The sequence below is a fragment of the Homo sapiens genome, chromosome 4, assembly GCF_000001405.40.
Source record: "Homo sapiens chromosome 4, GRCh38.p14 Primary Assembly".
Taxonomy (NCBI): domain Eukaryota; kingdom Metazoa; phylum Chordata; class Mammalia; order Primates; family Hominidae; genus Homo; species Homo sapiens.
In genome coordinates, this window is record NC_000004.12 from 74,139,868 (window position 1) to 74,164,590 (window position 24,723).

Consider the following 24,723-nt stretch of genomic DNA (forward strand, 5'->3'; position numbering starts at 1 on the left):
GGTACAAAATTAAACTGCCTTTCTCAGAATTTTGGCTATACCACTTACTAGATTTGTAACTTGGGTCAAGCTCCTTAATGTCTTTGAAGTTCAGTTTTATCACAGGTAAAATAGTAATAAGGGACTCTATCTTCCAGGGCAATTAAGGAGATTAAATGAAGTAATCAGCCAGATGTGGTGGCTCATGCCCATAATTCTAACACTTTAGGAGGCCCAGGTGGGTGGATGGATTGAGCTCAGGAGTTTGAGACCAGCCTGGGCAACATCTACAAAAAATTAAAAAAAAAAATAGCTGACATGGTGGCACATGCCTGTAGTCCTAGCTACTCAGGAGGCAGAGGTGGGAAAGTCACCTGAGCTCAGGCAAGTCAAGACTGTAGTGAGTCATGATTACGCCACTACACTCCAGCCTGGGCAACAGAGTGAGATCCTGTCTCAAAAGAGAAAAATATAAAAGATAAAAAAATGAAGTAATCTATGTAAAGCACATAGAAGAGTGTCTGGCATAAAGCAAACCTACAGAAACTGCTATTATTATTGGTAATTTTATTAGTTTTAATTTTATGTAATTAATTAACTTAATCCACACAAATACTCCTGTTTTTTTAGTATTTAAATTATTTTAATTTTCTCAATTATATATTTTTCACTTTGTGCACACCTTTTTCATGTTGTGCATTATTCATTTAGGCTATACTACAAAAAAGGCAATATAATTCAAGGACATTTTATTAGTCCATTCTCACACTGCTATAAGGACATACCAGAGACTGGGTAATTTATAAAGGAAAGAGGTTTAATTGACCCACAGTTCCACAGGGCCGGGAGGCCTCAGGAAACTTACAATCATGGCAGAAGGGGAAGCAAAAGTGTCCTTCTTCACATGGCAGCAGGAAGAAGAATGAGTGCCCAGTGAAGGGGGAAGCCCCTTATAAAACCATTAGCTCTCATGAAGCTAACTCACTATCATGAGAACAGGATGGGGTAAACTGCCCCCACGATTCAATTTTCTTTTCCTGGTTCCTCCCACAAAACATGGGGATTATGGGAATTACAAAATGAGATTTGAGTGGGAACGCAGCCAAACCACATCAGGCATGAAGATATTTGTGGGTTTTTAAATTTATATTGTTAGATTACCTTACCAAATATGACAGTACTCATATTCTCAAATTTTTATGCTAGTTTTTATAATATTTTATGAATGTACTTAGTGTAGCTTGTTTTTGCCCTAACTTCAAAGATGAAAACCAAACTTCATTATGTGACAAATTTTCTCATCTTATTAGGGTAGTTTACTGGTGCTCTAAGTAATAACTGAAATATGGCATTTTCAAGAAGGCCAAAGTTGCTCAGCAAGAATCGAGATAATTGGCTTAAGCAGGGTTGATTACTACTGTAGAAAGGATTAGAGCTAAATAATTATCCATAGGATAACATGAGATAACAGATGAAGTAGTAGTCCAAGCAAAATTCACTTTCAAAGGCTGAGGTACGAATGCTAGAGAAAGTCAGGCCTGCTGCCAAATGTGAGTTCTCACATTCAGTGTGTCACTAGATTCTATTGCTCTTACCTCCTTAATGAGTTTAATCTGTCTCCTCCTTGCCATTCACAGTGACATAGCCTTAGTTCTGATGCTTCTTGTTTCTCGCTTTGATTACTAAAACAGTCTTCTAACCCTCCAAGGTCTTCCTTCCTTTAGTCCATTTACTCATTCATTCATTGAGAAACACTGACTTGACACAAAATTTCTGGCTCTACTCTCTTGTCACTCACTTGATCTCAAGTAAATTACCTAACCTTTTAGTGTTTTAGTTTCCTCATCCATAAAATAGGATAATTTTTGAAATAATATTATTCTTGTAACTAAAGGGGACCAAGAAGTTTTAGGACAAGTTCAAGATTTCATGGAGCAGAAGGAAATAAGGCTGCCCCTAAAAAGAACTTGGAGGACAGTGGAAAAAAAGAACAAAGTTGTTTTATGGGATTATCCCATCCATTATAGCTTAATTAGGAAAGCAGTTACACAGTTAAATAAATATGTAATGAAATGATGTGTGTTGGCTTTCATTATGAAAAAAAATCAACTTAGATGTGAAATGAAATATGTAAATGGGAGAGTCTCAGCTTGAGCCTAAGCTGGGCTCACATTAGAATTCAGGTATGTCTAAAATTCATGGAGTCTCTGCATAAAGAACCAACGATTCTCCTATGAAAAACTCACCGTAATATCCCAAAAGGCTGAACTGGGTGAGGAAGTGAGGTCATTGGCTAAGAATGTTTGATTGGAGAGCATAGCTGCACTACAAAATTTCCTTGAAGTCTTATGTTTTACCTTTTAAAATATCCCAAATTTTACACATTTTAAAAAATGCTAGTTAATGTTATGAGCTGAATATTTGTGTTCCCCCAAAATTCATACATTGAAATCTAATCCTTATTGTAACAGTATTTTGAAGTGGGGCCTTTGGGAGGTAATTAGGCTATGAGAGTGGAGCTCTCATAAATGCGATTAGTTTTCCTCTAAGAACAGACCAGTGGGCTAGCTTGCCCTCTTTCCACTATGTGAGAATACAACAAGAAGTCAGAAGTCTGTAACCTAGAAGAGGACTCTCACCAAAGCCTAACTACGCTGGCAACCTGACTTCAGATTTTCAGCCTTTATAACTGTGAGAAATAAATGCTTGTTATTTAAGCCACCCAGTCTGTCATAATTTGTTTTAGCAGCACAAACTAAGACATTTAATATGTTAAAATATTTACTATGAAATAATTGACATGTATTATGGGAAACTGATGTATCAAGATAACAACATACTTATTCCATGGCTCCAAGTACCTCCTTTCACATTTCTGCAACCCCTACGTGCACTCCAGTTTTAGAAGCAATGACATGGTCCTGCAGAATGGGAGAGCCAAGAGGCTTCTTCAAGGTATTATTCAAGGATAATGGGTCAGTCTTGGACAAAAAAATCCCCTGAATCTTAGTAAAGATTCTTAGTAGATTCTTGGTACACTCTGCCACTCGAGTAATCTTTCTGTTCCAACCAATGACATAGGTCTTGAAAATTTAAAAAGTATCAATACCTGAAAAAGGTGTTGTCTGAAATCACCAATGATCATGGAGGATGGATGCATGTGTTACTGATTCTAACAGCTTTTGTATGGTTTCAGGGGTTAAGGTGGTGATAGGAGATGATGTCTTTGGTGTAGATGTCCACACTGTCTATATATTACCAGCATTAAGGACCTCTTCAAATACAAAACAAAAACAAACAAACAAAAAAAACAAGCATCAACAGGGGGTATCACAGTAAGTTGGGAAAGAATGTAGGAAAAATTATAGGAGCTTAATGGTGACCAAGAGGAGCTGGAAAGCATACGTGCACTGATTCCTCACAGCCTTCAGAACGATCTGGCTAGAATTTGAGTGTAGAATGGAGTTTTCATATGGCTGGTGACAGTGAAGGCAAAGAAATATACTCTTTGAGAAAAATATTTGTGACCTTATTCTTTTTGTCTAGGCTGGTGCAGCATGGAAACACGGATTTGAGCTCATTACTCCAATTTTCACGCTGAGTTTGGAAGGGTCCTAGAGGGTATGTGGAACTGTCTCAGGGGCCATGGATGGAAGGGGCAGAAGACTAAACAAGCACGGTTCCCTGGAACCCATGTCAGCCAAAGCAGCTCCATTTTCTATTTTCCTACTTTCCTTTTATACATTTGAAGTAAGATTTTTCATGTCAAATTTGGTTTGAAAAATGAATTTTGCTGCTTAGAAAAGAAAATCATTTAAAAGTTATCATACTAGAACATTGGTAAGAAAATGGATAGAGAAGAAATTTTTTGGGTTGTGGAAAATAAGATAAGCAAGAGGAGAGTCAAAAATTTTGAGCCCTAGAAGAATATCTTAATATTGTTTTGTGCTCAATAATATATAACTTATGAGAAGAAAGAGAAAAGCATTATGTTCAGATAGGATAAGGAGAAACATTTATATGAATATATTTTTAAACTTCTAGTATGTAATTTCAGCACCAAGTTAGAAGCTGTGCCTAGAATTTTGTTTTTGAGTATGAAATGAAATGAGAAGGTAGCAATTGGAAAAGACTAAATCTAAGAATCATTCCTGGAGAGGTATGGCAGAATAAGCTGGCCATATGCCATGAGTACATGGATTTGTGTATACTGCTCTGTATCCTGCCATTATGCTAAACTATCAATAAATCTGCTGTCCTTATCTGTATTCCTCAGTACATAAGATTTTTTATTCTCTCTGGTTGCTTTTAAGAATTGTTAGATGGCTGGGTGCAGTGGCTCACACCTGTAATCCCAGCATTTTGGGAGGCTGAGGCAGGTGGATAACCTGAGGTCAGGAGTTCGAGACCAGCCTGACCAATATGGTGAAACCCTGTCTCTACTAAAAATGCAAAAATTAGCTGGGCATGGTGGCAGGCGCCTGTAGTCCCAGCTGCTCGGGAGGCTGAGACAGGAGAATTGCTTGAACCCAGGAGGCAGAGGTTGCAATGAGCTGAGATTGTGCCACTGCGCTCCAGCCTGAATGACAAGGTGAGACTGTCTCAAAAAACAAAAAAACAAAAAAACAAGCTAACAAACAAAAATAATTGTTCACTCTATTAGTGGTGCTGGGTAATTTGATTATGATATGCTTTGGTATAGTTCTCTTTATGTTTCTTGTGCTTGGCATTCATTGAGATTCTTAGATCTGTAGGTTTGTACTTTTCATCAAATCTGGAAAATACTTTACTATTTTTTCTTCCAAAAATTTTTTGGTTTCCACCTCCCCACTTTTAATAACTTTAGTTACATGATATTTGGTGTCTTGGAGATGTCCCATGGCTCACTGTTGGCTTTGTTTTTTCTCTGTACATTTCATTTTTTATAATTTCTATGTCTACAAGTTCATTAATCTTTATTTCTGTCATGTGAATCTGCAAGCACAGTAGCAGATCAATACCTATATAGAGACTTCCTATAAGAAAGAAGTAGAATTGTAGATAAGAAGAAATGAATGAATTAATAGTAAGTGCTGTAAGTGGTATAATTTTGATTATCCATAGCTAACAGCAAAGATATCTGATCCTCACCTCACACTGTGCATTGGAATCATTAATTAGAGATTTAAATAAGAAAGTCAAAACTTTAAAAGCTCTAGACTAAATTAATAAGAATATATCGATATAATCTTGAAATAGAGAAAGATTGCTTCAACATTGCAGTAGGTTCCAACCATAAAAGACTGATAAACTAGACTACAGTCAACATTCCATATTTGAAAAAAAAAAAACCCAAATCATTCTGTATTTGCAGGTTTGCATCCTCGAATTCAACCAACTAGGGGTTGAAAATATTTTAAAAAGGCAATCAAAATAATACAAATAAAAAATACTGTACAACTATTTACATAGCATATACATTGTATTGATATTATAAGTAATCTAGAGATGATTTAAAATATACAGGAGGATGTGCATAAGTTCTATGCAAATACTTCACCATTTTATATAAAAAGACTTTAGTATCCTTGAGATTTGGTATCTGTCGGGGAGGCAGGGAGGTGATGTCCTGGAGCCAGTCTCCCAGAATACCAAGGGATGGCTACACTTTCCAATTAGGAAACTCTATTTATTAGAGACCTGAAAGGTAAATAAAAATAAACTAAGAAAAAAATACTTGTTACACATGCACCTAACAATATATTGACATTTGGACATAAATAATTCCTATAGCAATAACAAAGTTACAAACTGATATGGTTTGGGTTTCTGTCCCCACCCAAATCTCATGTCAAATTGTTACTCCCAATGTTGAAGATCAGGCCTGGTGGGAGGTAACTGGATCATGGGGGCAGAGTTCTCATGAATGGATTAGCACCATCCCCCACTTAGTACAGTATAGTGAGTTCTCACAAGATCTGGTTGTTTGAAAGTTTGCAGCACCTTTTCCCCTGCTCTCTTGGTCCTGCTTCTCCTCCTGCTTTGCCTTCCACCATAAGTAAATGCTCTCTGAGGCCTCCCGAGAAGTCGAAGCTGCTATGCTCCCTATACAGCCTGCAGAACCTTGAGCCAAGTAAACCTCTTTTCTTCATAAATTACCCAGTCTCAGGTATCGCTTTATAAGAGTGGGAGAATGTACTAATACACAAACCCATTGAAAAAGACACATATTTCATAGAACAAAAAACTAAAATGGTTAATAAACAGAGAGAAAGATGCTTCACACATTAGTAGTCAGGAAAATTTAAATTACGATTTCTGCAAATACTATTTGTTCTTCATTAAATTGGCTAAAATTTAAAAAGATTGACAAATCAAAATATTGCTAAAGATGTGACTCAATAATTTATTTCTTGCCACTAGGAGTAAACATTTCTAAGATATTATCAGACAAGATCTGGTGTGTTCAGGGTGGTCTATGACTCCTAAGTTATTAAAAAATTATTACTAATTTTTAAATTTTTTAAATTGTGATAAGTTGTACATAAAATAAAATTCACCATCATATCCCTTTTAAGAATTTAGTTTAATACTGTTATGCACATTCAAATTAATTTGTAATCAATCTCCAGAACTCTTTTCATCTTGCAAAACTGAAACACTATATACACATTAACAATAAATCCCCATGCCCCTCTTCCCAAGAACCTGGGAGCCACCATTCTACTTTCTTTATGAATTTAACTACCTTGTAAAATTAAATCATACCATATTTGTCTTTTTATACACCTTGGGGTAGTCTTATTTTGGTCAAATTCGTTTGGTGTTCTCTGATATTCCTATATCTGGATATTTAATCTTTCTCATATTTGAAAAGTTTCTGTTATTTCTTTTGATAAGCTTTCTACCCCTTTCTCTTGCGCAACTTTTGCTTGAACAGCTGTAATTCCAGATTCGGTCTTTTGAGGTAATTTTTTATATCTTATAGGCAATCTTCATTGCTTTTCATTCTATTTTCTTTTTCCTCCTCTGACTGTGTTTTTTCCAATAGTCTGTCTTTGAGCTCATTTATTATTTCTTCTGCTTGACCTATTCTGCTGTTGAGAACTTCTAATGAATTCTTCAGTTCAGCAAGTGGATCTCTCAGTTTTAGGATTTTTAAATTTCAATCTCTTTGTTAATTTTCTTTAATACATTTCTGAATTGCTTTTCTGTGCTATCTTGGAGAATACTGAGTTTCCTTAAAAACGGTTCCCTGTTTGCTGTTGTTTCTTGTGGATGTACATCTATGTATTTGCATTGAAGGATTAGTTATTTATTCCAGTCTTCTCTGTCTGATTTCTTTGGGTTTGTGTTGGATATATTTGCTTGGAAGTTCTTTTCTTTTTTTTCTCCCATGCTCACCTGGGTAGAGGTTCTTTACCAGTAAGTCATTGTCTCCTTTTTGGTTCTAGGTCGGCTCTTTAAGCCCAGGTTCCCCTTGGCTCTAACAAACTCAGAGCCCTGCTCCTGTCTAATAGAAGGATTCCAGAAGGTTATATCCTGGCAGTGTGGGAAGGCTGGCTAGGGGTTCTTGTCTAGGGGATGTGTGTGAAGAATCTTCTACAGCTTGGTGGTGCTGAACAGCCACTCTAATTTGGCATCTCCTTTGGGCGAGTTACAGAGCAGAGTTTCTACTTCTCCCCTTTTGTCTTTGGCTGTCCTCAGGGATATTTCTCCATTCAGGCATTCATAATGCTTCCTGCAGGTTAAGTCAGGGACATGTGTCCTGCCAGGGAATCCAAGATGGAGAAAAATCTGGTTGTCTACCTCAATCTCATCTTTCCAATTTCTCCACATCCTCCCAACACTTGTTATTTTGTTTGTTTGTTTGTTTGTTTTTGTAGTAGCCATCCTAACGGACATGAGGTGGTATAACATTGCGCTTTGGATTTGCATTTCCTTAATAATTAGCGATGTTGAGCATCTTTTTTTTATTGGCCATTTGGAAAAATGTCGATGTAAGTCCTTTGCCCAATTTTAATTGAGTTGTTTGGTTTTTGTTGAGCTATAGGAGTTTTCTTTTTAATATATTCTGAATATTAACCTTTTATCAAATATATAATTTGCAAATATTTTTTCCTGTTCTCTTGATTGCTTTTTCACTCTGTTGATTATGTCCTCTGCTGCACAGAAGTTTCTTATAATCCATTTCTTTGATCCATTTTAAGTTGATTTTGGTATGGCATAAGGGTCCAACTTCGTTCTTTTGGTTATGGATATCCAGTTTTCCTAACACCATTTATTGAAAAGACTACCTTTTCCACATCGAATGATATTGGCACCATGTCAAAAATCAATTAATCATATATGCAAAGCTTTATTTTTAAGCTCTTTGGTCTGTAAGTCAGCTTCTACTTTTGTATAGGGTAGCTTTCTGATAAGTTTGAAATCATAAAGTGTGAGACCTCCAACATTGTTCTTTTCATGATGGTTTTGGCTATTTGTGGTCCCCCCCTTTTTTATTGCCTTTTCCCACACATTTTATTTATTTATTTATTTATTTATTTATTTATTTATTTATTTATCTATCTATCTATTTAGACAGAGTTTTGCTCTGTTGCCCAGGCTGGAGTGCAGTGGCGTGGTTTCTGCTTACTGCAACCTCTACCTCCCAGGTTCAAGTGATTCTCCTGTCTCAGTCTCCCCAGTAGCTGAGACTACAGGAACATGCCACCATACCCAGCCAATTTTTGTATTTTTTGTAGAGATAGGGTTTGAAATTCTTGGGCTCAAGCGATTCATCCACCTCAGCCTCCCAAAGTGCTAGCATTATAGTCCCTTAATATTCCATATGAATTTTAGGAGAGTGCTACTAACTTTTAAAATTGAATATGCACGTATCTTATGACCCTACAAATCTACTTACAGAGAAACTCTTGAATAAGTGCATCGAGAGTCATAAACATGAATGCTCACAGCCACATTTTTATTTTTACTATCATAAATAAACGGAGAAATCACTGGGTCTGGCTTGTTTACATTTAGATTTATCCCATTGCCTTTCCCTTACTTAGTCTTTTCTGTATCCCAAAAGGCTATATTTCTTAGGCCCCTTTGCTTTTTGGTTTCCAGGTAGGTTTGACCAATGGGAAACAATAGCCAAATTTTGGAGTGTGAGAGAAGGGGAAACCCAGTGTATTTTTCTTCTTATCTTTCTGCTGTCTCCCTTGTGGACATAGCTTCCTCTGATCAATCATTGCTTAGATAGTTCCAGGTCCTGCAAGGAAGACTTTGCCATGATTCCAGCTCTCATTAGATAGTTTTATCTTCTCAATTCTGATAGTGCCACTTGCTCCATCCAGTTGTCTCTCCAGATTTAGCAGTTTCAGTGGTTTCCTGCTGTTGGGTTATTTTGTATCCTTTTTGGCTTCTAAGTTCTTCCATTATCTACTTAATTAAATCCCTATATTAAATTTCCTTTATTTGAAATACCTACAGTGTTTTCTGTTTCCTCCTAGATTCTGCCTAATACAAACTCAGACATCTGTTAATAGGCTGCTGAAAAACTAAATGCCCCTATTTAATAATATTTAGCAGAAAAAAATGAATGAATTATAGCTACATGCAACAAAATAAATATGTTTTGGAAACACGGAGTAAAAGGGAAAAAGCAAGTGCTTGAAGACTGCATCCAGCTCAATATCATATGTTAAACTCAAATAACAAAACAAAAACCAAGGAAGACTGAGCATTATGTTGTTAAAAGATGTATTTGTGATTAAATTATTTTTAAATCAAAACGATTAAACTACAAAATTCAAGACAATGATTACCTCTGATAAAAAATTTGGGATATGAAAGAAGCACCTAGATTTATTCATTGATATCAGAAAGGTTCTAATTCCCACGTTGTGTGGTAGGTTCAGGAATATTCTTCTTGTTGTTATGCTTCATAATTTGCAAGGGTGTTATGTGTTGTGGTAGGTAGAAGAGTGCTCCCCCCAAAAAATGTTTATATCCTAGGTTTCAAAACTTGTGAATATATCACCTTACATGGCAAATGGTACTATTACAGATGTGATTATGGTTTGTAACTTTGAGATATGGATATTATCTTGAATTAACCTAGTGGGCTCAATCAAATCATGAGGCCTTTAGAATAGAGACCCTCCCCTGGCTGTAGTAAGTAAAAGAGAGAGACAGAGAAAGAGAGAGAAATAATGGAAGAAGAGTAAGAGAGGGATTTCGACATTCTTGGCTTTGAAGATGGGGGAAGGGTGCCAACAAGCCAAAGAAAGTGGGTAGGTTGTCTACAGAACACGCAAAAAGGAAGGAGATGGATTCTCCTTAGAGCCTCCAGAAGGAATACAACCCTAATTGACTATAGCCCTGTGAGACTCACACCAGACTTCTATCTTAAAGAAATGTAACACCATAAGTTTTTGTTGTTGTTGTTTGTTTTTGAGACAGAGTTTTGCTCTTTTTGCCCAGGCTGGAGTGCAATGGTGCGATCTCAGCTCACTGCAACTTCCACTTCCCAGGTTCAAGCGATTCTCCTGCCTTAGCCTCCTGAGTAGCTGGGATTACAGGCATGCGCCACCATGCCCAGCTAATTTTGTATTTTTTAGTAGAGACGGTGTTTCTCTATGTTGGTCAGGCTGGTCTCAAACTGCCGACCTCGGGTGATCCGCCCGCCTAGGCTTCCCAAAGTCCTGGGATTACAGGCGTAAGCCACCGTGCCTGGCCAAGTTTGTATTATTTAAACCACTAAATTTGTGATAATTTATTATAGCAGCAATCAAAAGCCAATGCATATATATTATTTGCATATTATTTTCTGCTCCAAACATTATCCCATAACTTAAAAAAATTAACATATGTTGTTTTAAATGACACACATCAAAACAAAGTGAAACAAAATTTAAATGTAAAAAGATACAGGTATACATGTGTATATGTATACGTGTGTGTGTGTATATATATATAAATATATACATGTGACACTTTTCATATTAAAACTAAACAAGGATAGGAGTAGCAATGTCTAACAATTACCATGGAAAACAAGAAGGCTTAACAAAATAAAGAAGGCCATTATATAATGATAATAGATAAACTATATGGAATCTGTAATAATCATTATCCCATATTCACTGATGAAATAATGCTATAATATGTAGTAAAAAATAAAGAAAAATTGGGTTCTTTACATCATTCTTAGTCTTTAAAAAGTTGAACAGAGGAATTAGAAAAAAGACAATCATTGTAACATTGGTTATATATTGACATGTATATAGATATATACAGTATATATAGTTAACATTATATTCTAAACCAGGTGCACTTTTTATACAGTTAATGGTATTATAAGACCACAAATAAACTATCAATAAGTTATTAAAATATGAAACTGGTAGTCACATTAATTATCATGAAATAAAACTTGGTAATCAATTTTTCAATAGAATCCACCATTCATTGGAAAATTAAAAATTATTTTCTCCTTATTACACAGATTCAAATCAAAAATCAATTTTATAGTTACAGAAGATTGTATAAATGACTAAAATGCAGACATTGGGATGAGTTCTCTGTACCTTAGCGATGTAGCATGCAAACTTTTCCAGGAGAACCTTAGATTTAGAAAAGCACTGCAGTTAGAAGTGTGGGCACTGGTTTCACACTACCTGAGACTTGAACTCCACTTTCATCACTTGATAGCTGTAGGTCTTGGCAAGTTATCTAGCCTATTTTACCTGTTTCCTCATAGCTTCATTGTGGTAAGGGTTAAAAGAATAACTTCTGAAAAGTGTTCAGCACAGCCTTGGCACATAGCAAATTCAGGGAAACATATGCTGTTATTATTATATTAAATCTTCCCCCATTTGACTAAAAAACTGAGATATTTTATTGGGTATTGGATTAATAGATTATTTTAGTGAAAGTCGACATATTTACAATATTAAGCATCTTGGTCTTTCTATTAATTCAAGTCTTTGCATACATTACTCATCACAGTCTTAATGTTTCCTTCATAGGTTTTCCAAATTTTTATTGGAATGTCCCTACAGGTTCATTGTTAGGAATGCTATTAGCTGTTGATCTGAAATATTTTTATATCTAGTTTATTAAATGTTATTAGGAAAGGTTATTGAATTTTATCAAATACTCTTTCTCTTATTTTCCATATTTATGTGATATATGAACTGACACACTTCCAATATTATCCTAATTAACCCATCTTTGTATTATCGTTTAGTTGTGGTAAAGTTTTTCCTTTTATAATACCATCAAATTATATCAACAATGTTTTCTTTCATATCCTAATAATTACATTTATCAGTTATATTGTTCAATAGTTTTCTTTTTTTGTATTCTTTTAAATTGGGTTTGAATATAATAAAAATACCTGGGAAATTCCTTCTCTATGATTTGGAAAGATTTTTAGTATGACTTATCATATTTTGAGGGCATAAAAAAACTCTGCTTTAGGAAGCTTTATAGTTGTATTTGATTAGTAGCTTCTTTTCCATTTCTGTCTGTTTTGGTTTTCTACTTCATGAATCAATTTTAATAATTTATATAAATATCAGGTTTTTAAAACACATATGCTGTAAAGTTGTTTATATTTTTATTGAGAATTCCCTTACAGAAAATATGATTTGGAAGAGCTCATGGAAAATTTTCTTTGACAGACAAGCACAATACTTTTTTTTTTACTTTAAGTTCTGGGATACATGTGCAGAACATGCAGGTTTGTTATATAGGTATACATACACCATGGTAGTTTGCTGCACCTATCAACCCATCATCTAGATTTTAAGTCCTGCATGCATTAGGTATTTATCCTAATGCTCTCCCTTCCCTTGTCTCCACCCCCTGACAGGCCCCAGTGTGTGATGTTCCCCTCCCTGTATCCATGTGTTCTGATCGTTCAACTCGCGCTTATGCATGAGAACATGCAGTGTTTGGTTTTCTGTTCCTGAAGTACAAACTTCTTTAAGAGCAGCTAGTGACAAGCAGGATACATCAATCTCTTAGTTTAATTTAAAACAAAAACAAAAAGAAAACACTCTGGGACAGAAAATATAATGATCTTAAAATATCCTAGGGAACTTGCCTCTTCTAGCTGATGCTGCCAAGCTAAGCTTCTTCAGCTCATTAGCTTCTGCTTCATCTCAGGCAGTAGCTACCCATGTTGTTTATTGCTTTGGCTCCACTCCTGGTTTTCTGGATCCTTGTTTATTCCTTGGCTGTGATTTTCCCTTGACATCTCAGTTTCTTAGTAAGCTTATCTTATGAATGGGCTTCTTTGCTATTCTCTGGAGTAAGCTATGCATCTGTCTGTCATTATGCAGTACCAACTCTGGTTGCCTCACAGCAACCTACTCCAACTTTGGTGGCTTTTGATGCCAGTGCTAACTGTTCACATTCTGATAATCATTTTGAAACATTTTGTTACAACAATGAATGCTATATAGTGAAAAGATAACTGACGATATAAATGGAGCCTATTAAATAAGATGCCCCAAGCAATGTCATGGACACTACAAATAATTACATGGACGCATATATCTCTGTGGCATAAAAATGTATTGTACTCTTTAAAGCAACTTCCAAAATTTTCATTGGAACACTTAAAATAATCATGGGAGAAAGTTTTTATTCCACATTAGCAACTAGCTTTCTTTCTCTGTAATTTTTAATCATCCCTGATTTAACTCAAAGGAATTCAATATTTGTTGAGTAGGTATTAGAAGCACATTGAGGATTAAAACAGGGAAAATATATCAGCTTTACCTTTTTCAGTTCAGGAGGAAATATTAATAAATAAATTAATAACTACAAATAGAGCAATAAATAAAACTTGGATAAAGTCCACCTTTAAAGATTCTCTTCTGGTATTGATTCTAATATATACCTACCCTGGCTAGATAGACATTTTAAAAAATAGACTTTATTTTATAGAACAGTTTTAAATTTACGGAAAAATTCAGAAAATAGTACTGAGTTTCCCATATGTCACACATCTAGTTTTTCCGATTATTAACATCTTACATTATATGATAAAATGAATCTATATTGATACATTACTATTAACAAAAGTTTATACTTTATTTAGATCTTCTTCGTTTTTCTGTAATGCTGTTTCTCTGTTCCAGGATCCAATCCAAGATATCACATTATATTTAGTTGTCATGTTTTTCTAGGTTCTTCTTACTTGTGACAGTTTCTTAGACTTTCCTTGTTTTTGATTGTCTTTACAGTTTTGAGACATACTCTTCGGGTATATTGTAGGATGTCCCTCTGTTGGGATTTAATTGTTTTTCTCACGATCAGACTGGGGTTACAGGTTTTGCAGGAAGATTGCAGAGGTAAAGTACAATTCTCGCCACATTATATCAAGTATCCATCCTATCAGTATGATATATTGGTGTTGATGTTAATCCTGATCACTGTCTGAGGTAGTGTTTGTCAGGTTTCTCCATAGGTAAGTTACTCTCTTTTCCCATTTTCTAAACTGAACTCTGAAAGGAAGTCACTATCATCAGTTCCCATTTAAGAAGTGAAGAATTCTACTCCTCCTTCAGAGTGGAGTATCTACATAAATTTTAGGAATTCTGCATCATGTTTCTTCTCTCCCATATTTATTTATTTATTCAATCACATATTTATTTATATGATTATGGGCTCATGGATATTAATTTTATACTTCGGGTTATAATCCAACACTACTTTATTTTACTACTCAAATTGTTCCATCTTTGGGCATGAGGAACCCTTTCAGTTGGCTCCTGTCCCTGACATATCCCCATCAATGTGGGATTTATTTGAGTTCCTTACTTTCCAGAATTACACGATGCTCTAGGATCATCTAATATATTTCCTGAGCCTAGAATCAGCAATTTTTCCAAGGAGTCCTGGTTCCTGTTATTGTAGAATGACATTAGAAACCAATATCTGGGCTGAAGGTGTGCTTATTGCTTTCGGGTGTTGTTTTAGGCATTCTCAGCTGGCAAAGCAAATAAATATATGTATGTAAACTAACTCCTGAATATTCATACATCTATAAATATTTGTATATGTAACCATCTGTATTTGTATTAAGCTAAAACTGATGTTCCCAACTCTAATCCATTATCATATGGATTATTCTAGCCTCCTCCCATTGCTTATCTGTAAATTGCCACTCCAAAAATGAGGAACCTGGCTCCTATCATCCACTTCCATTTAAATAACTGTTTAATTCTGGTATACATGTATAGTCATATCAGAATTGGTAATGTAAATCAACAACTTTATTAACTAGAGCACAGTGCCTATGTGCAGTTTCTTCTATTGTTAGATTTTTAACCTTGCAATTCCAGTTATTTAGGTCAGCACCTTTTCCGCAGTCTTTCCCGTGAGATTGTTTCATATAAGTGTAATACAGTTAGATTATCTTGTCACAACCTTCATTCCTTCCTGGAAACCACCAACCTGCTAAATAATGTATTTTTTCCATTCCTCACAGCACATTTATTTCAGTAATTTTGTTATGTCGGTTCTTAGCATGAGTACAGTGTTACATGATTTTCATGCATATAATCACATCCAAAACAAGTTCTAAACTTTACACTGTAAACATTCTCATCATATGTAGAAATATTTTAATTGGTGTATTAAGTTTTGCTAACTGATCAAATTTGGAAGATATAAAATAATGTCTATTCTAAATTGTGTAGTGAGAATTGTTTGTTAATTACATTTCTACAATGTTAAATAAAGTAATAGGCAAATCTGTCCTGAAAGCATGTCAAACTTTAGGTAAAACATTAAAAAAGAAACAAATCTGTTAACAAATGAATGTCTGCAATAAAGAACATTAGATTTTTAAAATCTATTATCATACAAAAATATAAAGGGTAAATAGAATCTTTGTTGATAAAATATGAGGTAGCATGGATTCACCCCTTTATTGTCTGAGAAATGCAACAGGAGTAAAGAATATTTCCTTACCACAAATAATTTTCAGGATGATGTACATATTTCTTTTTGAAATACTTGTTTAAACAAATGTCCCTCCACTTTTTAGTACTGAAAAAGCCATTCCATGTGATTTAAAAAAAAAAAAAAACACTTTTACACATCTAGATAAAATGTGTAAAATGTTTGTATGTATTTAGAACATACAAACAAAATTTAATATCTTATTTTTCTATGCAAGTCTTGTGGAGAATAAACAGAGTCTTGATTCTGATAACACTGCAGAAAACATAATTTTCCAATGTGAATAATATTTTTTAATATGGTATACTTTGTTTCCCTCTTCCTGTTGTAAAGTTCTGTAGGTTTTGACAAATGCATAGTGTCACGTGTCTAACATTACAGTATCATACAAAATAGTTTCACTGTCCTAAAAACCCTCTGTGCTACACACTATTCAAACCTCCACCCTATCTTCTTAACCTTTGGCAACCACTGATCTTTTAACTGACTCTATAATTTTGCCTTTTATAGAATGCCATATAATAAAAATCATGCAGTATGTAGCCTTTTCAGACTACCTTCCTTCACTTATCAGTATGTATTTAAGATTCATCTACGTCTTTTTATGGCTTGGTAGCTTGCTCCTTTTCACTGATGAATAATATCCCATTGTATGAATATTTCACCGCTTATTTAAGAACATCTTGGTTTCTGGAGAATATGAATAAAGATGCTATAAACATTCATATGGTGGTTTATTGCAGACATATTTTAAAATCAGTTGGGTAAATACATAGGAACATGGTTGCTGGATTGCATGGTTAAATGATATTTAGCTTTGTAAGAATCTGCCAAACTGTCTTCCAAAGTGACTGAATCATTTTTTTATTCACCAACAATGAATGAGAGTTCCTGTTGCCACACATCCTTGCCAGCATTTCGTATTATCAATTTTTTGGACTTCAGCGGTTCTAATGGGAGTGTAGTGGTATCTCACTGTTGTTTTAATTTGTATTTCCTTAATGATAAATGATATTGAATATTTTTCCATTTTTTTTGACCTCTGTATGCCTTTTTTGGTGGGTGTTTTCAGATCTTTTGCTCACTTTTAACTGAGTTGCTTTTCTTTTTTCTTTAATTGTTGAGTTTCAAGAGTTCTTCGTATATTTTGGGTGTAAGTCTTGTAAAAATGTTTTGCGAATATTTTCTCCCAGTATGTGATTTGTTTCTTTATTAACAGTGTCTTTTGCATGGCAGAAGTTTAAATTGTTTTTTTCTTTTATGAATTGTGATTTAAGTGTTTTATCTAAAGTCTCATTGCCAAACCCAAGGTCACCTAGATTTTTTCCTGTATTTTCTTCTAGGCTGCTTATTTGTGTCAAATGGATTTAGATCAGCCAGGAAAGAGTAGGGTATCCCATTCTTATTGATATGATTTTAAAGAGCATATTTTCTGACAGTCTATGATTTTAAAAAACAAGTTTTCTCAGTAAAAGTGCAGCTATGAAAGACGTTGTTCTGACTCAACAGCAGCAGCCTGACCTTGGGAGAAAAGTTGTTTCCTGTTAACTTCCCAGCTGGTTTTATCTGTGACTGTTTTTTGTGTGTCTGTCTTAATTTGCAAAATGAATGGACAGTCTAATGTTTTACTTTTTCAGAGGGAGCAGATATTTTGCTTCCTCACCACACAAGCTCACCACACAATGCAGGGTTCTTAGCCTGCATCGACTTGATCATAACTCAGGAAAAGACAGATATTGGTCAATATTTCCTTCCAAAAGTGGAGATGATAAAGTAGAAGTATAGAAATCCTAAAGTCCAGACCTTCCTTGTTCAGCCAGGTTTTGCTCCTTCTCCACACACCTTTGTTCTTTTCTCCAACTTCCAAGGAATCTCACAAAGGAAGTGGGAAACAATGAACCTATTACTTCTTTCCTGCTTTAAATCCAATTCCACGTAGTCACGGAGACTGTTGGGCAGGATCTCTGGCTTGGTGGAAAGTGGGGCGTGCTGCCTAAAGTGATAGTTTGGAGGCCTTCTCTGTGCCGTCGCTATGGGAATGCCAGCTATATGTTGGCTGGGTGCGGGGCCCAGTCGCCAGGCCACACTGCACGCTTCCACATCCTCAGAGGGCCCGGGACTTGGGTCCTGGCCCCGCCCCCTGCGGACCCGGCACTCTGTCAGTTCCGTCCCCGGTCCTGGGAACCGCTCTTTACCCCACTCTGCGTGTCTGCCGGAACCTGGCTGGGAAGCGCTACTTGCTGCCCTGCCAGCCCGGGTGAGGGCGGAGCCAGGCCTCCAGCCGCGAGGACTGGAGTCGCGGGAGGTGGAGCCCCAGTCCGGAAGCCGGGGATCCGCGGCCATGACGGTGCCGGTCCGCGGCTTCTCGCTGCTCCGCGGCCGCCTTGGCCGAGCGCCGGCGTTGGGCAGAAGCACAGCACCCTCCGTAAGGGCACCGGGAGAGCCCGGGAGTGCGTTCCGGGGCTTTCGGAGCAGCGGTGTGAGGTACGAGGGCTGCGGGCGCCGGGTGCGGAGCCGCTGGCGGTGGGAGGTCGGCGGGGGCGCGGGCGGCGCTCGCGCGCGTGGGGCCCAAGGCTCGTGGGCGGCCGCGCGGCGGCGGGCTGGGTCGAGGACAGCCTTGTCTGTGAGGTGGCCTTGCCGGTCGCGCGGGCGAGTCGCAGTTGCCTCAGCTTGGGGAACGAAAACGTGCTCTGCTCTGGGCTCTCGCACCAGAATGTTCCATCTTTGCAGCAGGTGCACTTGATTTAGGAAGACATTTGAGGCACTAAGAAAAGGTAGTATAAAAACACGTGGTCGGCTTGGTCAAACATTTGTTTTTACTTTGGTTATTTTAGTGTTTCGTAAATAAAGGAGTAGGCGTTGTGCAGATGACTTACTAATGTTTGCGTTTCTGAATTCCTTTGTTAATAGTGTTGTCTAAGTCTTTTCCAACTCTAAAATTATTTATGGTTTCACAAAACCAAATATCAATCCAGATTTCTCAGTCTTTTCATGTATGGCTCTCCCTCCCTAAACCTCTGTCAGGTGATGAGACTTAGATTCATTACATGTCTTGGTTGCTGGCAAGAACCATGCAAATACAACAGGGTACGCACTCTTCTATCTTATGCTTTACCAGTCTTAGTTGCAAAATCCGTCTTAACAAGATGAAAATATATCTTCTTGACCCAGAGCTTGTGAGTCCAGAAGAGCCTCTGTTTTCAGACTTTCAGGGCTTCCAGAAATGCGCTTTCATTGCCATTTTACGTCCAAAATTGTGTCTCACTCGAGTTTTTGTATCCGCCAGTGCCCAGCACAATCCCTAGAAAAGCAATGACTGGTAACGTGGAAACTTAGATACTGTTTATTTAATTTAAATCAGTTAACTCCCTATTGTGTACATTTAGATCTTAGTCTCGAGTGTCTGAATTTAAAAATTACTTCCTATAGGATTTGCTTTGGACATAATTTCTTGTGACTAGGTCTTCCACAAGGATATGTGAGAAAATAACAGTGAATCAGAGTTGTGTAAGCTGTAGTAGGTTGGGTAAGAATGTTCCACTTAGTTTGGAACTACCAGCTAGATCTACTACCTAGGAAAAGCAGATTCTGTAGAATTCTATTTGTTTTAAAGAATTGAGGAAATTATTTGCCGTCACTCTAAATTACTTGTTTGTATCATTATTTTTTGAATTTCAGTTGTTTTAGGGGTGCTTTTCAGGGTGAGGATAACTTGTTTCAAATAGTACAACTTGATTAATTTCCCTGTCAGCTTGCTGTAAACAACTCCATCTCCCCATCTTCTCCATGACCTGCATACATTGAATGGAAGTCATTACAAACAACAGTTACAACCCCAAAATTTGGTTGTAGCCCCTTGCTTTGTACACACACACCAACTCATGTAGAATTCAAAACTTTTAAGTTACACATAATGACCTCTTTATAATTTAAAATAGTTGAGTGCAAAGGTTTTGGAAAGCTATTATCCCTATGCACTGTAAGAGTTACTAATTTCAGCCCGGCTGCTTTCAGTTCCACTTGATGCAGATTATAGTTATAAAAAAAGTAATATATTTTGATAGTTTTTATTTTTTAAAGAGGGCACTAGGCAAGTTAAGATAAGGCGGGGGTTTTGACGCCCTCTTTGTACTGAATACCATCTCTGAAGGTGAGGTTGGCCCCAAGGTTGAGAAACACCTGTGGACTGGTGGGTCTCGGGTGGGGAGGAATTCGGACAGTGTGTTGATGCTTATTGGTGTCTCTTTTCTCTTCTAGGACCAGCAGAGAGAAGAGATTCCATCTTCCAGAGGTTGCCACTGTCTGCCTCCCCACTTGTCCCCATCCACAGTCATCTTTTTTATATATATAATGACACATTAGTTGTCTAGTTCTTCATAGTTAATGTGGTTTAAGTCTGACATCTTTTCTTTTGCCATGAAATTTACACCTTAGTGTTATTCTCACTGAAAATTGCCTTTGAGTTTGATAAACTCTTATCCCAGTGATATTGACTGTTTTAAATTAACAGATTTATCACCATTTCTGAGCTGTGTAGGGCCTTAATTGAAAAAGTATCTTTGATTATTTTTTCACATTTTGGCCACATGCCTATAATAATGGAATATTTACAGTACTTTTTAGTGGAGAACTTTTTTAAGTAGAATTTCAATAATTAATGTTTGATGGAGTTTGGAAGTTACCGTATTTTGAAGTATCGTTTAACATTCTTCTCTCAATGAGTTTTCCTTTAAAATTTGCAGTGAATTTGTTTTCCTGTTTATGCATGAGAATTTAGGTCTTATTAATTGGGGGAAATTAATGTTAAAGTAATAAATAAGCCCTTGTTGCAGCTTATTGTTTCTTGAAATGAATTAACTATCCAGGCAAAAGGTTAAAAATGAAAAAAAAAGTCTTTGTAACTAAATTTTTCCCATTTTGTTGTGGTATTTGAGGAGTTTACAAATCAAAATGTCCTGGGTTAAAAGGCATCACATGAGTTTGTGCCCATTGCTTTTCAGTGTGAGGAGTCTGATAGCAGCCCATCCCATTTGGGTGGGAAGGTTATAGACCTTGCACATTAATGCCATGCTCAAAGCAGATTTGCAGGTATCCTGCAACACAGGGACTTTCACAAAACCCGCTTTGGCTTATTCTACCTGAACTACTTATTTTAATTAACTAAATGGATATCCCAAGCATTCCATGTTTATCCTGTTGCTCAGTGAATCCTCAAATCGTTAATTTGGTAGATTCTCTTTTTTGTCTTCATACTATTATTTCTTTTAGCTTTTAAAAAAATTGTGTACTGCCTACAGGTCTTTATGGAAGTTTCACCTTTCTTTGTGTCGCACTGGCATCGGCTGTATAATTTTTGCAGCTAGACCACATTTTAAAAAAATCTACATTTTTGGAACTAGTAAAAGATACTTATTTGTGTTATTTAAGTATTCACGTCTTTTACCGTGGGTAGTTAAGTTTAATAATTTAAAAAGACACATTTTATCAGTAACAATGTTCATTTTATTTTTCAGACTCTTCCCTCTACTACTTACTCTGTATTTCTGTCTCTTCTAATGACTAGGAAAGGCAGTTTCTCAAAATCATCTTCTATTTAGTTGGCAAATGTGATAATGTGGGTAGTGTTCCTACCTTCCTGCTGTATGTGTTCTACTGAAATGAGATATAATAGCCATCTGGCTACAATTTTGATTTCTAAGAAGTTCTTATGTCATTTTAAATTCAAAAACTAAGTGTTTCAACATTTGGTCTCTCATATCTTAAGTTTTATTTTCTTTGTTCCAGCTGTTCAGAGATAGTGTGTTCTAATATCTCCACAATCAAGATTTTTGACTAAAATGGATCAGTACATGAAAAAGAGGGACTAGTATTAATTTTAGATCTTGTTAGTTAATCATGGTCTTACTAATAATTTGGCAAGTTCTTTAATGAGCCAAATCTTTGTATTTCAAATGCCTTGAAGTTGTTATTCTTTCCTATTAGTACCCTGATGGGAGGATGAAAACAGCAGAAAGGAGCAGCACCAGATGATCTTTTCATGGGCACGTACTCTTTCAAGGAATCCCATGGAGCTCAGTGAAATTACACTTTGGCTTAGAGATAATTAAGTTGTGGAAGGAGGTTTAAGAGAGGAGCTTAGGTGAAATTTGAGCTGTAAATGAGTATGCTAAATTAAAGAAATGATTAGTAATAAATGAGATTTGCTATTAAGAAATTCACTTTGGATCTGAGACAACATTTTACATACAATGTAGAAAACTTTATGGTCAGAACAGAACACAGTCTGAACCTAAATTAACAGTAGTGTTAAAGAATTCAGGGCGGGATATTATCCAAGAAGGCCTAGCCAGCTGCTCCACTTAATGTTACATCACAAGTGGTTTCTGTGTTGCTATTGTTTTTATTAGCATTTCAATGACTGTGTCATATTACATTAAATCAATTGGCTCTAACTTACCTAACCATCTTGCTGCTTTTTATTGTCTAGTTCTTGGAAAATATGTAATAATTTACTCTCAGATTGAGGTCATGTCCTTGTCAATGTCATACCAACCAGGTTTGTTCACTGCATCATCTGAACGCTATGTAGGTTTCTATAATTAGGCTCATTAGAGTGTTCCTAGATCCAAAGACTATCTAAAGATCTAAAGATTCATAATTCTAAAGTGAGGGTGTGTGTATAGTTTACAACAGATGTTCTCTCCCCACTTTTTTTTTTTTTTTTTTTTGCTGTTTGTGATTAACTGGAACTGCAATGAATGCCATCATGCTTTTAAGGAATTCAGTTGTATTGTTGAAAAATACAATTTTCTTAATATCTAAGGAGCTCTTAGTCAGTGGTAAGCACTTTGCTGAGATTTTGCATATACAGTATGTCCTTCGATCCTCACAACAACTAAAGGAAGTAGATAGACACTATTACTATTCCCAGTTAACAGATTGAGAAATTGAGGCTTAAAGAAATTAAACTTGTCAAGTTGACACAGTAAATACATGGTGAAGACAAGGCTTGAACCCACATCATCTTTCCGGTGTTCTTCTCTACAAGCAGTTTATAATTATTGACTTATCTTACTTTTTCTTCTTTTTGAAACATTTATTAATATTAAATCTCATACAACTTTTGTGAATCTAGAAAGCTAATTTTGCATGTAAATTTTAAAATTATTTTGTTAGATTCCCTCAGTTTGAGATGTTCTTAACCTGGGACCTTATGGATAGAATTCAGAGGATCCATAAACTTGGATTGGAGGTTACTAACTTCTGATAAATTGAGCATTTTTTTTTTTCCATTGTTAGTGTTGGCAACAAATACATAATATCATCAGTACATGTGACTTGCTAATATAATTTACAGATATTTCAGTATCACAAAGTTGAGGCAGATACCACAAAACATCATCTGCACATCACTATTTTGTTATGGTAGTTAGACCTACCACTAGATCCTGTTATTTAATACTTTTAAAAAAAAGCATTTGATAATATTTCAGTAAAACTGGTTTTCCTTGTAATCTGTATTTTATATTGAATGTTTAAAAGGATTGTTCTGAGAAAGAGTCCACAGGTTTCAGCAGATAGGCCAAGAGCTTTTGTGGCACAAAGCTTAGCATCTAAGGTTCTTTCTGACAAAGTTAGTTTGAAAACAATGGATATTGTTTAGTACAGAGTCAGAAAGTTAACTAGTTAAAAAACTGGATACGAAGAAGAGTCATATATAATGAAAAGGTATTTTACTTTTTATTGATTTGCAGATGTAATTTCTAGTAAAATTACTTCAAGATGTGAATAGGGTACTTGGGGTATGAAACAAATTTTTTTAAAGAGGTCATAAACTTAACACTTGCAGGTATTCATTTATTTTAATAACACACTTCAAAAGACTCCCTATACTGGTGATTGGTTTTATTCCCTATGGAATTTTGCCCTGTTTTTGGGGGGTTTCATTTCTATTGTACAAACTCAAGACATCGAAGATATGCCCTAAGATATAAAGCAATTAAACTGTATGTTAGGGCCTGGGTAGAGCTTGGAATTGTTAATCATTCTATTAGGATTTTTCGTCTTTTTTTGTTTGTTTGTTTTGTTTTTTGTTTGAGGCAGAGTCTTGCTCTGTCACCCAGGCTGGAGTGCAATAGCACGATCTTGGCTCACTGCAAACTCTGCCTCCCGGGTTCATGCCATTCTCCTGCCTCAGTCTCCCAAGTAGCTGGGACTACAGGCGCCCGCCACCACGCCCGGCTAATTTTTTGTATTTTTAGTAGGGACGGGGTTTCACCGTGTTAGCCAGGATGCGTCTTGATCTCCTGACTTCGTGATCCGCCCGCCTCAGCCTCCCAAAGTGCTGGGATTACAGGCGTGAGCCACCATGCCTGGCCAGGTTTTTTCAACATTATAGAGATAAAATGGTTCATTGCAGCTCTAGTTGAAGTCGTGAATAAAGATGAGATTGAAACTAAGATATGGATTTGCCAAGTATACGAATTAAATAAACTCTTGATCTTGACTAGGTTTTATTTGTTGGTAAGCTACTTTTTTGTGGAAGAGTATTTTGATACATAGAAATAATCCTCCCCCTTTGTTATTTTGCTCTAGTTTATTAAATAAATCATTTGATTCTAATAAGCGTAGATAAGGTGGTTAGTTTATTTTCTGGAAGTACAAGTAAACAAGCCCATGGAAACAGCACTAAGTGCTGAAGACTTTCTGCTCTCATAATGTTTCTGGTTATCGAAATATGTCTCCATCTGTAATTTAGCAGAAACTAAGAGAAAGAGCCACTTTTGCAAACCA

General features: G+C 36.1%; 1 protein-coding gene across 21 annotated transcripts in view, besides 2 other annotated features; it reads left to right on the forward strand.

The window, feature by feature from the left end:
* MTHFD2L (methylenetetrahydrofolate dehydrogenase (NADP+ dependent) 2 like) overlaps window positions 1-24,723 on the forward strand; it is a 188,540-nt gene that overhangs the window by 25,308 nt on the left and 138,509 nt on the right. For 7 of the 21 annotated variants that reach the window (XR_001741223.3, NM_001144978.3, XM_017008219.3 and 4 more), the window contains exon 1: window positions 18,251-18,414. The exons of 2 other annotated variants lie outside the window; for them this stretch is intronic. Coding sequence is in view for 9 of the 19 variants with exons in the window: in NM_001144978.3 (NP_001138450.1) it covers window positions 18,272-18,414 (143 nt within the window). In the remaining 10 variants the exon portion in view is untranslated. Of the gene's footprint in view, window positions 1-3,525; window positions 3,601-14,207; window positions 18,415-20,187; window positions 22,387-24,723 lie in introns of those variants that run through there. 12 more of the 21 variants (XM_047415712.1, XM_047415715.1, XM_047415716.1 and 9 more) reach the window with 6 other exon arrangements.
* Window positions 17,390-18,148: an enhancer, noted in NCBI's record as "H3K27ac hESC enhancer chr4:75022974-75023732 (GRCh37/hg19 assembly coordinates)". NCBI's record gives its function as "activates a minimal SCP1, AML or CMV promoter by ChIP-STARR-seq in primed H9 embryonic stem cells {active_cell/tissue: H9 hESC(primed)}" and the evidence as "EXISTENCE:reporter gene assay evidence [ECO:0000049][PMID:30033119]".
* Window positions 18,149-18,905: an enhancer, noted in NCBI's record as "H3K27ac hESC enhancer chr4:75023733-75024489 (GRCh37/hg19 assembly coordinates)". NCBI's record gives its function as "activates a minimal SCP1, AML or CMV promoter by ChIP-STARR-seq in primed H9 embryonic stem cells {active_cell/tissue: H9 hESC(primed)}" and the evidence as "EXISTENCE:reporter gene assay evidence [ECO:0000049][PMID:30033119]".